Raw genomic sequence first — 13,729 nt, 5'->3', positions numbered from 1 at the left:
TTATTGAAGGACATGAAGGAAAGTATGACAAGTAAGTGAGAATGAACTTGAGAGAATAGCACCATGGCCAAGTAGTATTTCATCATAGATAAAAAATGGTTTAATACCAAAATGTCTGACAATACAATAAGCATTCCAGTATACCGAAAGTTCCACTTAGTTTGGTACATCTATTTGATTACATTAATGTAGAAATTGCATCAGCATCAGAATCAGATAGTTCAGTCATAACAATTAGAGAATACCCTACTTATAATTATTATATCAGGAAAAATGAAAAGAAACATGTATCTGATAACATATTGAATTCACTCATGGATTCAAATTAAATTATTTTTATAATTTCTAAAGTATAAATGTTAATTTTTATAATTATATAAAAAATTTATTTATAGAATCTAGCCTAATCTTCTACTATCATGAACTTCTGGAGAGGACTAGTCTTAAATTAATCTTTCAAAGCACTACCCATAACTAGAATAAAGAATCATCCAACAGTTATACTGCACTAAAACTCATGTAATAATTCATACCTTTTCTCTGTGAATCCTTTCTTTTTTGTCCACCTGATGCACTATAAAGAATAATTCTACAAGAGTCAAATATCCACTGGCAGTAGCTTTTCAGTCAATTTGAGCAGAGAGTAAGCTTTCTCCTATTTTATAGAAAATAGACTCCATGGTTACACACTCTGGTACCAAATGACCTAATGTGTTCTGCTGAAAAGCAATACTACTGAAAAAATGATCCACATGGCATTGAACACAAAGTAGATACTCAAATATTTACTGTTTTATATTTATTATTAGCACCTGTTATTTTTAGTAATGAAATTTCAAAAACATCTTTCTCAGACATTGCTAAGATAATTGCTTTTTCTATCTGAACTACTCAGATCCAAAGATACCAGCCATCAAGTACTGTCAGGCATTTCTACTGCACTAGGATAGTTTATGGGAAAATACAAGCCACTCCTGATAGTCCCAACATTGCTTGCAAATGACTGGGCAGTGTTCACTCTAACCAGTACTTTACCTTGAATAAAGTAAAAGAAGCAAAACCTTATTAGCCCATCTTAGCATCTTGTTATCTGTGAGATTTGGTCGTAATTATAGATCTTGAATTGAGTAATAAAATCATCAGAGAGGAATTCTTAGGTGATAAAAATTTTAGAATGTAATATTGTAAAAAAGAAAACACATAAAATAAGTTCAGTAGTTGGGAGTAACCAGTAAAGTGACCCCAGCAAGAAAGAAATGAGCTGAGTCAATTTCAGATGTGTGTTTATACCCAAGAGGCAGAATTCTAAGTAAGCCAAAGCTAGCATAGGATATTGTCAGCTGAGGTTAATATAATACAATCATAACTCAGGGCAAATGCATGGGTTTGCATAATTTTTCTCATCACTTGGATAAAAAAATAGTGATCTGGATAGAAATTCATATTTTTTTCTTTTTATTATTTTTAATCACAGTCTCTTCTGAGACCTCAATGTTAACAGAATTTTCTAAAGCTTTTTCACATATTTCCATGGGGAAAGCCAAATATTGTTTTCTTCTAAATGAAATCTAATTTTCTTCTCTGCTTTAGCAGCTTATTAACTAGCCATATGCAATTTATTGGACCATCTCTATGAATATAAATTATTTTAATGCACATTACACAGCAAAAAAAAAATGTGAGAGTAAGCAGTCCAACTTCTGACACCTTGGAGGCTCACAGGAGTAAGCATTAATGAAGCATCTCACCCTAGGTCACTAATTTGCATCACAAGCAAGTTAGGTTCATAACTTCAGAAGTTCTTTGCCATCTGGAGATGGTTTGATGACCTGGAAGAGCTAAATTTCTCTGTCTTGTTTCCAGGCACAGGTGCCCAATCAGCCCTGATTGACACTTGGCTGGCTCTTTAGGGCAGGCCAAAGGTTAAATGGACGCAGAAAGCAGAGTAGCCTTTCACACTTCAACAGTGGCTTCTTCCAACAGGGTAGAAATCTTTGACCCCTGAAGAGTTGAATGAAAGGGAGAAGAATGACTGTAAATTCACAAATTCAACAGAGGGAAATTAGAGTTCATGTTAAATGGGCGTATAGGTCTCATCACTTTCACCACTTTTAAAGTAACCTCTTTCAATTAGTCAATTTAGATCTTCATGTGAAATTGTAAAATGCTTATCTACTATAATTATGAGCTTACAGGAATTCCTCAAACAGTGCAATTTGCTCCAGAGAAAGTAGAACGATAGCCTATGGTCACATACCAAACTCATCTAATCCTTATATTTAGTCAAAGGCTATTATTATAAACTCATCACCCCTTCTTCCAGACAATGCTTTACATAGGCTATTCTTTCATTGTGTGACTAAACACACACAGGACACATAAATATATTGAAATTGAGATACACGGTCCAGGATATATATTTTTTCCCAGAAAGTTCTAATGCTATTCCATAAACAAATGATGAAAACTTAATATGAGTATATAGTCCCTGTATAAACTGAGAGAGAACTATATGGCATCACTTTAAAAATGTACTTAATTTTTTAAAATTTTGTTCCAAAATAATCAGAATAGGCTTTTAAGAGCTTTCACTAAGTAAACAGAAAGATCCAAATCAAATGAAATTAATGTAATATTTTTTGCTGTCCAGAAAGAATATTTTTATTGGGTTTTCAAACTTAATTTTCAAATAACAAAGGACTTTAGGCTCTAGTCCAGATATCCCTGAATTTCAGAAGAGCAGCAGGAGGAATCTTGTTGCTTACCTAAAGTATACACACAGAGTAGGACCTTTATTCTAATACTGATGTTACGAGACAAGGTAACAACTGTATTATAGAGGTTCTAGCTTAGAAACATGTATTAAAAATCACAGTACAAGGTGGATGTAACTGGTCCTCAAAACAGCCCATTCATTCATACAATAAGGTGTATTACCAGACGATTTTATTTTGTAGATATAGATCCACAATAGGAATCCAAAATCACTGATTTTTTTTTCTGTTTTACAAAATTTCCACTGTCCAATCAAAAGGTGATTTTATAAAATTTTACTAAGAGTACCCTTGTCCAATCTGGATTCATATGGATTGAATCTTCTATTTAGTTTTACATTTTTCTCCTTAAAATATATAAACCCGATTACAAATCACTGCTGAGTGACATTCAGAAGATATTGCAAGGGCGTCTACTCTACCTCTCTTGTCAAGTGTGTTTCAGTGGAAGGATTATTGATGGAAGCCTGAGACACAGAAGAAGAAAAATTAGAGCTGTGAGGTATAGAATTGCAGAAATTGCATCTATACAAACAGCTGAAAGCAAGATGATATTCTGTTCAAATGTTTCCTATTTCAAAGAACTCTCTAGAGTCCCATTTACTCCTGACAAGTACTAACAGTGCTTACAAGTTTTCTTCAACCTGGCGAATTGCTCAAATTAAGGAAATAGTTTTACTTAAGAAGAAAGCTGCATCAGGACTTGGAAACTGTAGAACAAAACTTGAAAAGGATTTCGTCAGACAGTAAGATTTATCTCCTGTGCCTTAATGTGCAAAATAAAACTATGAAATAACTGGTTCTTGCTTAATGTGATAGTACAAAAATTTTTTTTCAGCTAGTCGTAAGCTAGAACCAAAAGATTCCACTACATCCTTCACAGCATAAGGTGTACATTTTAGGAGATATAAAATTATAAATGTTCATCTCCCCAAAACAGCTCACTGTATATTACCATATGTATAATTCTATATTTTTTCCTGGTTGCCAAATTCAGGATTTTTCAAAGTGTGCTTTCTAGGTCACTAGCTCAAAAAGATGTTTGTAAAAGTTTCTTGATAAAGGGATACAGTGTTACAATTAGGAAATCATCAAACTATTTGTTAAAGGCCAGGCCCAGTGGCTCACACTTGTAATACCAGCATTTTGGGAGGCTAAGGTGGAAGGATTGCTCGAGGCCAGGAATTCAAGACCAGCCAACCTGGGCAATATGGTAAGATCCCCATCTCTACAAATAAAAAATTATCCATGTATGGTGGTGTGCACCTGTAATCTTGACTACTCAGGAGGCTGAGGTGGGAGGATTACTTTAGACTGGGAGGTCAAGGCTGCAGTGAGCCACGATCATGCCATTATACACCAGCCAGGGCAACAGAGCTAGACCCTGTCTCAGAAGAAAAAAAATGAAAAACTATTCGCTAATTAGTTCCTTTCTATGGCAGGACTTCTCAGAGTGTTTAATATGCCAACATGTAGTGTGTTGAGACATAATATTCAGCATTTCCAAACTTATTGGCAATGGGAGCCCCTTTTATTCATGGAATGACTTTGATGGCTGTTCCAAGGACTACATACAATTTTGTAAGCCTGAAGTTGGGATTGTTGGCTTAGAAAGTCACTGGTTCTTTTTCCAGAGTCCAATATCACCAGTTATTTGACTTTGTGGAAATGTACAGCAGGATAAAAACATATTGTCTCGGAGGCTGCAATTTCATCCCCCACCTCTCCACACCAGCACTCTCCACTCCCATCAACTGCATTAGCAGGCTTACTATCAGTCAGGTAATCACAGCATACTCATATAATCACAGATATTCATGCTGAACACTCATACCAACATGTTCCCCTAAAAACATGCCCCAGACATGAAAAGTAACATCCTTTTCCATTTTTGTAATGGCTTCTCTTATTTGTGTTTGTAACATACTATTACTGTTCTGAAAGATTGTTACTTATGTCTTATAAATCTTCCTGCCTTCTCTTAGTAGTTACCTTTCATATAACAACCAAAAACTTTTGCCACATTCTGTTTTACTGAAAAAAAAATCCTTTCACAGATATTTTTTCTAAAAAAGTCAAGTTTTGCTCTACTTTTACTGTCAATTTAACACACAGGATTGAGAGTTGAAATGCCACCCATTTGGAAATGAGAATTTGACTCCCCAGAAAGTATGCTACATTCATTTGCTTGGGAAACAGAACATTCACTGATGTGACTGGAACTTTGTGTGTGACATTTTGCTCCCACTTTTTTATTTTTATGATAGCCTCCATTTAATGAGCATGTATTTTGTGCAACAGATATTGTTCAGCTCTTTACACACACATATTATTTCAGTGTATCTTCACAACATCCTGCCCTGAGGTTATTCTTAGTCTCATCTTATAGATGGGAAAACCAAGTATCAGAGAAAGTAATCTTTTTTTTCTTTTTTTTTTTTTTTTTTTTTTTGAGACGGAGTCTCCCTCTGTCGCCCAGGCTGGAGTGCAGTGGCATGATCTCAGCTCACTGCAAGCTCCACCTCCCAGGTTCACACCATTCTCCTGCCTCAGCCTCCCTAGTAGCTGGGACTACAGGTACCCTCCACCAGGCCTGGCTAATTTTTGTATTTTTAGTAGAGACGGGGTTTCACCATGTTCGCCAGGATGGTCTCAATCTCCCGACCTTGTGATCGGCCCGCCTCGGCCTCCCAAAGTGCTGGGATTACAGGCTTGAGCCACTGTGCCAGGCCCAGAGAAAGTAACCTTATCACCCAAAGTCACAGCTATTGAGTGACGAGCTGAGCTTTAAATCTATATGTGTCCAATTTTTAATTTCCCAATCTTCCTAGGATATCAATCAGACATCTGTATCATCATTTCTAACAATCCCTTAATAAAGTAATAATCATATGTCATCAAATAAAATGGAAAGGTCCTTCCCCATGCCAGCCAGAGGTGCCCTTTCTTGTATCTTTTACTGAAAAGTGAAGGATTTTAAGCTTTTGTGAAACTGACCCTGAATTGATGGATAAAGAGAATGAAATAAAGGCAGAAAACCTCTAGGTTGTACTGAGTGTGGTGGAGCGACATATATCTTAGATCATACAGACTCTGCACTCAGCTTATTTTAGAGCCACCTGAGCTGTACTGCCTCTTGTAATATTATTTATAGTACTTTTTTTTATAAATGTAGTACAGTATGTCCTTATAAAAGCATTGAAGTCTTCATATGAGACTCCTCCCTAAAGACGCTGGTTAATAAATCTTGGCCTGTGAAGTGAAATGCAAAAAAAAAAAAAAATGTGTAAGAAATGCACCTTTATCAGCAAGTGTGCTGACTAGTCAGGTAGCACTGTGTCAGTGCTAATAATTAGGCAGAATTGAAAGGTCATGAAAGAGAGAAAAGCAGCTGAGGCTAAAACATGAGATTTTTAAATGACTTCTCTTTGAAAAAACTACACCGCTATATCAAATATCAAGTATCTTGGCTATGTGATACCTTAATCCATTTCTTTACTTCGCTTGATCTAGTACGTGTTTGCCATGGTATGGATGAAACAATGTGTGCACCTGAAAATAATCAGTGAATAAGTAACTGTATTAAAATAGCCAAGATTAGTATCATGTGCATACGAGTCTATCCATCACCATGGAGGAGTGTATTCAGTGTTCTTCCCTTTGTCTAAACTTGACCACACCCTAAAACTCAGCACATTTTTGGTCATCTTTCAAAATCGTATTTGTGTATAATTTCTAATTTCTTTCAGGAAACATTTGTTGAGATGCCCTTCACCATAGTGCCCTGTATGGTAGACACACCTGATAGCAATAACTAAATTTAAGCATACCCTGAGAATGACCCTGTATGGGAGATATACCTGAATGTGTGTTCAGAGTTCCTAGCTAAGGAGTTCAGGAGTGGCCAACCCAAAACCCATTCCTTATCTATGAGGAACACCTGAACCCCTGAACCATCCCATGGAACACAGGCTGTACAGGAGAGTGACGCCTTTTGTTTTGGGTTAAATGAAGGTTGCTAAATGTAGGTTGTTAGGAGGAGGATGCTAAGTGAAAACGCTGTATAAACCGCATGCCTTTCGCAAGCAGCTGTGGTTCTCCTGCCCAGCCCCTGCCACTGGACCATTTCTGGATGCAATGCAGTTCTTCTGTCTAGCCTGCCATCACTGGTTACCACGTTGTATGTAATTTCACTTCAACTCTATGTCCCATTTGCTGGCTCTGGGTCTCTTCTTCAGCCTCTTGAACCTGGTGTCATCCCTACTGAAGTTAATAGAGGTCCACCGTGGCATTTTTCCCCCTTAAAAAAATTAATTACTTCATACACTGGTTACTTCAGCATTGTGTAGATAATTCTATTATTCTACTTATTAAACCACATTCAGTTTATTTTATTTGTTTGCTTACGCTGCTTGTTAGATTGCAGACATCAAATGTATTTTATTCGTCTCCATATACTGAGAACATAACACAGTATTTGGCCATGCAGGTGCTCAATAGGTGTGTATTGAATTGAGTTTAATTGAACCAAATTGGCCTGACTTGAACTGAACTGCATTTATTTAAATTGAACTGGTAGCTGGTACCCTCTGATCAACCAAGTTACATGGCCAGCATTCCAGGCACTTCAAGTCTTGCTAAGTTAATACAACATTTAGAATTAAGTTTTCAGAATTACTTTACTGAGAAAACATTTATCGACTTCTGTTTAGAATGTCAGGAATGCATGGGTGAATGGTAGGATGACGGTGACTGGCACAGAGGGTCCTCATACAGCTGCAAGTTGGCTTACTCAGGACAGAATGTTTTCTCCACACTTCGGCCTGACACTTTAGCTGGATTACGATAAGCACTAGAAGAACAGTGAGGCATGGAAGCAGAAAATTAGACATGCCACACATCTAAATATAGCACAGGAGAGAAAACCTCAGGTTCCCAAGAAACTTATGTAGAGGAATTCTTTACTTCGGTCTCTCCCAAAGTATACTGTCAAACATTCTTGTCAAATATCTTCATGGAACTCTTCTAAAATCTCTTTTAATAAATTTTAATGATTCCTATTTCAATATATAGTACTTTTAAAAGATATCTTTTATGATAAAAATATATACGTTGTTCAGCTAAACCATAGGCAAGTGTTGTCAGTTTCTGGTGAAACTCCATGGCAAAAGGGACTCATTTTATGTAGATGAAAAGCACTTACCTCATGGAGAGATGCCAGTGTGACATACTACATAAGGAAATAGAATACATAATCAACCATACTGAGGTAGAGAGGAACCATGTAATTAGGCAAAAATAAGTCCAGAGTCTTGAATGCTTACAGTATAGAAATGGCAATGGAGATGATCTCCTTTCTATAGCTGTAGAAGAAGAAATGCATATCTAGATAATCTAAGGCCAAAAAGACAAACTCAGCTCCTCCCTTTGCCACCATTACTACCATGGTAAGGAAGGATTGATAGCCGTGGTGGAGAAAATCACCTTGTAAGTGAGAAAGTCCCTCCAGAAGGACATTATTCCCTGCAGAAGTAAAGTTTCAACACCATGGATCATATACCTTTCAAATATTTTTATAACATAGATGGGTGTAAATTAAATATATTTCAAACTCATTTAAATCTAGGATTTGGGCAGGTAAAGGAAATATCTCAGCAAGACTTGATATAAAACCAGAATGACTAAGTTGCAGTTTATAAAAGTTAAGAATTTCTGAGACATATATACACAAATATTTAAGAATTTCTGAAACATATAAATAATGCCTAGATATACTTGATCAAAAACATGCTTCTTGGATATAAACTTCACGTGTATTATGGAAAAGTCTTAGTAAACAACTAGTCTTTCACATTTTAAAATAATTTTTTCAGCTGCAATAAACTCTCTGTCTTAAATCTGACTGTAGGAACCATATGATTACGAAGATGAGGATGCAAAGTTCCTGATGTTAGTACAAGCTATTTTCAGAGTCGAATTCAAGGAGAGAATAAATCTCTTCAATATGACTCTGCAGTCTCAACATTAAAGTGATGTACATGCCACACTTACTCAGTGCTTTTATTTAGGAAATAAAAAAAGAAAGCCAGCAAGTTGCTCTGACACTCCCTACTTCTAAAAAAACAAAAAAGTTTGATCTTTTGCAACACATCTGCTAAGAAGAAAAATATAAAAGTCCAGTTCATTAAGTTTAATAATTTACTTTTTGAGAAAAAAATGAAATATTGTATATAATTTTGACTCTTTTAAAGTCTGCACCTATACGTCAAAATAGGCAATATATAAAAATAAAAATTGTTTAGTTGGAATGCAGGACAGTGACGACAAGGGCTGAGGAAGATGTGACTTGAAACACAGATTTGGGAAGACACCTGCATAGAGGTAATAATAGTTCAAGGCATGAGTAAGGACGAGAGCTCCAAGGGTGAGACCTAACAGAAATGTCCTTTGATTCCCAAACCAAGGTAGGGTGAGAAACGAAGCACACAGATTCATAATGAAATACTGTAGCCTCTATTTTTCACAAGGGCAGGGGGTAAAGAAAGAGCCTCATTAGGCAGCTGATTTCCTTTTTATCCCTCTTGAGTCAGAATGCCTGGCTGGTTCCCATTCTGATTATTGTACTTGCATAGCTTTTCAGCTATCTCAGGCTCCTAAGTTACAGAAAGCGTGCACCACACTCAGACATGCACAGAAATGTTGTGATAATTACCTGAGGGGAAGGCCATTGCTAAGCTACCCTCTAGAAGAACCATGTCTGAGGCAACTCATACTGAGGATAATTCTGTTGTCTTCAATTCTTATTTTCCATATGGCTAAAATTTACAATATACCCTTTTGAAATCAAGCTTTTTAAAAGAATGGCTAGAAATTTGAGCAGTTTAAATTTTGGCCTTTTTTTCTCATGAACATTCTCACTATAACTTGACCAAGAAAATAATGAGACACAAAGAGTTCTTGTTTTTTGAAAAAAAAAATGGAAATTACAGTATATCTCTCTTGATGTATTATAAATGTACATACATACATGACTCCCTTCCTTCCAGGCTACCCTTCCCCATTACTAGTAAAAAGTGAGCCAGACATTATTTTATCTTTCTGTGGTTATAAATGTTACCATTCATTCATTAAACAAATATCTTTTAGTATCATCATTGCTAGGCAATGTCCTAGGTGTATTCAAAAGACAGCCAGTGCCTCTGCCTTCATAGAGTTTACATTCAGACAATACATACTTTCCCTAGCAACAGTAGAGTTGGGTAAAAATAAGAGAAGAAAATAGAAGATATGAAGGAAGAAATTGAAAGACAAGACAAAGTTTTCTGGTTTTCTATATGAGAGGAACACCACAAAAGATTCTTTAAAATGTTGCTGATGTTTCAGATCATTTAGTTTAGTTTAGCAGCAACAAGTGATCATGTTTCTCTAATTCTCTAGCTCTCTAGCGAAATATAATTGACTAGACATATGTAAACATGACCCTTAAAAATATGGGAAATTACACCACAATAGAGTATAACAATCCAAAAAGCACTCGAAATATTAATCTGTTCCTTTATCCGACAAATGTATTGGATGTCTTCCGTGTTGCAAGTATTCTTCTAGTCCTGAAGATTCAGCAGGAAATAGAACTCCCACCATTTGAAGGATAGGTTTGGTGTTCAAACTCATAAGTTAGTCACTGCCCCTTCTGCAGAGATTGTCATTAAGGTGCCAGCAGAATGTGTGTGACAAGTAGCCTCCCTAAGTGACACTGCATCTGTTGTCCTCTTTTATTCATAACCCTGGATACAATAAAACTATAAAATTCTAGAGTTAGAAGGTATGTTGAAGATTATTTAATATCTTTTATTTATAGATGTGTGAATGAGATTCTGAGGTTTTAATTAACATTCAAAGGTTATTCAGCAAGTTAAGATAATGAGACATTAGAAAAATATTCCTTGTATATATGCATATATACGTACCTGCATTGTTGAAAGGATATACAAACAACATTTCTGCTCAGAAAGAAGTAGCCTTCTCACTTATTTAAGCACTATTTTCTGCATTTTTCTCATTAATAAACTTGATAACCTACTGTTCAGAGCATTTCTCATTTACGCTAACTTTGCATTTGAGCTTTAGGCTTGGCAAATGTTGAAAACCTTGCAAAACTTTTTCATCTCTTGATGTCCCTTCCATAAATTAATTAAGATAACTCAGTTTTTCCCACATTTCCCACAATTCAAAAAATGAGAATCAAATGCAATTTTTAAAGCTCAGTAAAAAAATCCTTTGACTTTATCGTTTTATGATTGCCTATTTTTGATCCTCTGAAAAATACAAGACAAACTTCCAACATAGACAAGTTAATCTTGTATCCTGACTACATTTAAAATAACTCAATCATAGTCATTAATACAAAGATATTGAGAAGCCCTAACATTTAGCCTCAGACAACATGAGGTCATCAGCATATGAGGGAATCATACATTCCTGGTCATTAATCTTAATTTTAGAAATTACATTTACAGATTTAATTATCTCTACCTATGTCTGTACAGGCAATAAGGAATAATCTTTTCAGCTCTAAATGAATTTACTCCTATGACTTCATAAAAAGCACAATTCTACTCACTTTTTGCAAAAGGAAAAAAAAAGATTACTGATAATCCTCATTATCACATTATAGTTGCCAATAACCTCAATAGCTAGGTCTCCATGGGAGAACTCAAAGAAATATAAAACAATGTTTCCACACTTAATAAAAATCAGTTTTTTCAGGAAATTATTGATCATTTGCTATCATTACAAATGAGTATAATGCAGTATTTTCCTTTAAGCAGTCTAACTTTTATTTAAAGATGAAAGGTGTATTAGTTTGCCTGGGCTGCCATTACAAAAATACCATGAACTGGGTGGCTTAAACACCAAAACTTTATTTTTCAGCTCTGAAGGCTGGAAGTCCAAGATGAGGGTGTCAGTAGGTCTAGTTTCTCCTGAGAAATCTCTTTTTGGACCCCTTCTCACTGTGGTCTCCTATAGTCTCTGCTCTGTGCATACTACCTGGTATCTCTCCCTGTGACCAAATTTTCTGCTTTTATAAGGGCACCAGTCAGAATGTATTAGTGTCCACCCTAATGCCTTCATTTTAACCTAATCACCTTTTATTTTATTTTTTAATATTTTACTTTATTTTATTTTTGAGATGGAGTCTCACTCTGGAAAGCAGTGGCACAATCTCGGTTCACCGCAACCTCCGCCTCCCCAGTTCAAGGGATTCTTGTGCCTCAGCCTCCCGAGTAGCTGGGACTACAGAGGTGCACCACCATGCCTGGTTAATTCCATATTTTTAGTAGAGACAGTGTGTCCGGAATTGGGGGGTTCTTGGTCTCACTGACTTCAAGAATGAAGCCGAGGACCCTCGCGGTGAGTGTTACAGTTCTTGAAGACGGCGTGTCCGGAGTTTGTTCCTCCTGATGTTCAGATGCGATCAGAGTTTCTTCCTTCTGGTGGGTTCGTGGTCTCGCTGGCTCAGGAGTGAAGGTGCAGACCTTCGCGGTGAGTGTTACAGCTCTTAAGGTGGCGCGTCTGGAATTGTTCGTTCCTCCCGGTGGGCTCCTGGTCTCCCTGGCTTCAGGAGTGAAGCTGCAGACCTTCGCGGTGCGTGTTACAGCTCATAAAGGCAGTGTGGACCCAAAGAGTGAGCAGCAGCAAGATTTATTGCAAAGAGAGAAAGAACAAAGCTTCCACAGTCTGGAAGGAGACCCAAGCGGGTTGCCACTGCTGGCTCGGGCAGCCTGATTTTATTCTCTTATCTGGCCCCACCCACATCCTGCTGATTGGTAGAGCCCAGAGGTCTGTTTTGACAGGGCGCTGATTGGTGCGTTTACAATCCCTGAGCTAGACACAAAGGTTCTCCACCTCCCCACCAGATTAGCTAGATACAGAGTGTCCACACAAAGGTACTCCAAGGCCCCACCAGAGTAGCTAGATACAGAGTGTGGATTGGTGCATTCACAAACCCTGAGCTAGACACAGGGTTCTGATTGGTGTGTTTACAAACCTTGAGCTAGATACAGAGTGCCCACTGGTGTATTTACAATCCCTGAGCTATACATAAAGGTCCTCCACCTCCCCACCAGACTCAGGAGTCCAGCTGGCTTCACCCAGTGGGTCCTGCACCGGGGCTGCAGGTGGAGCTGCCTGCCAGTCCCGTGCCATGCGCCCATACTCCTCAGCCCCTGGGTGGTCGATGGGACTGGGCGCTGTGGAGCAGGGGGCGGTGCTCATCGTGGAGGCTCGGGCCACACACAGCTCATGGAGGGGGTGGGAGGCTCAAGCATGGCGGGCTGCAGGTCCCGAGCCCTACCCGCGGGAAGGCAGCTAAGGCCCGGTGAGAAATCGAGCGCAGCACCGGTGGGCCGGCACTGCTGGGGGACCCAGTACATCCTCCGCAGCCGGTGGCCCGGGTGCTAAGCCCCTAGTTGCGGCCCGCTGCTCTGAGTGCGGGCCCGCCAAGCCCACGCCCATCTGGAACTCCAGCTGGCCCACAAGCGCTGCACGCAGCCCCGGTTCCTGCTCGCGCCTCCCCCTCCACACCTCCCTGCAAGCTGAGGGAGCCGGCTTCGGCCTTGGCCAGCCCAGAAAGGGGCTCCCACAGTGCAGCGGTGGGCTGAAGGGCTCCTCAAGTGCCGCCAAAGTGGGAGCCCAGGCAGAGGAGGTGCCGAGAGCGAGCGAGGGCTGTGAGGACTGCCAGCAGGCTGTCACCTCTCAACAGGACTTCACCACGTTGGCAAGGCTTGTCTTGAACTCTTGCTTCCAGAGATCCGCCCACCTCGGCCTCCCAAAGTGCAGGGATTACAGGCATGAGCCACCATGTCAGGCCCCTCATTACCTTTTAAAGGCCTTACCTCCAATGTCACATTCTGAGGTACTGGGAGTTAGGGCTTGAATATATAAATTTTGGGTGG

At 38.5% G+C, this 13,729-nt stretch overlaps 1 long non-coding RNA gene across 3 annotated transcripts in view; it reads right to left on the bottom strand.

Moving 5' to 3' along the window:
* Nucleotides 1-1,438: 1,438 nt before the first annotated feature.
* The window catches only part of LOC124902327 (uncharacterized), a 100,784-nt gene continuing 88,493 nt past the window's right edge, over nt 1,439-13,729 (bottom strand). For all 3 annotated transcript variants that reach the window (XR_007061897.1, XR_007061898.1, XR_007061896.1), the window contains exon 2: nt 1,439-2,001. This is a non-coding gene — a long non-coding RNA (uncharacterized LOC124902327). The remainder of the gene's footprint in view (nt 2,002-13,729) is intronic.

The sequence above is a fragment of the Homo sapiens genome, chromosome 9 (genome assembly GCF_000001405.40).
Source record: "Homo sapiens chromosome 9, GRCh38.p14 Primary Assembly".
Classification (NCBI taxonomy): domain Eukaryota; kingdom Metazoa; phylum Chordata; class Mammalia; order Primates; family Hominidae; genus Homo; species Homo sapiens.
This window is presented reverse-complemented; position numbering and strand designations above follow the sequence as displayed.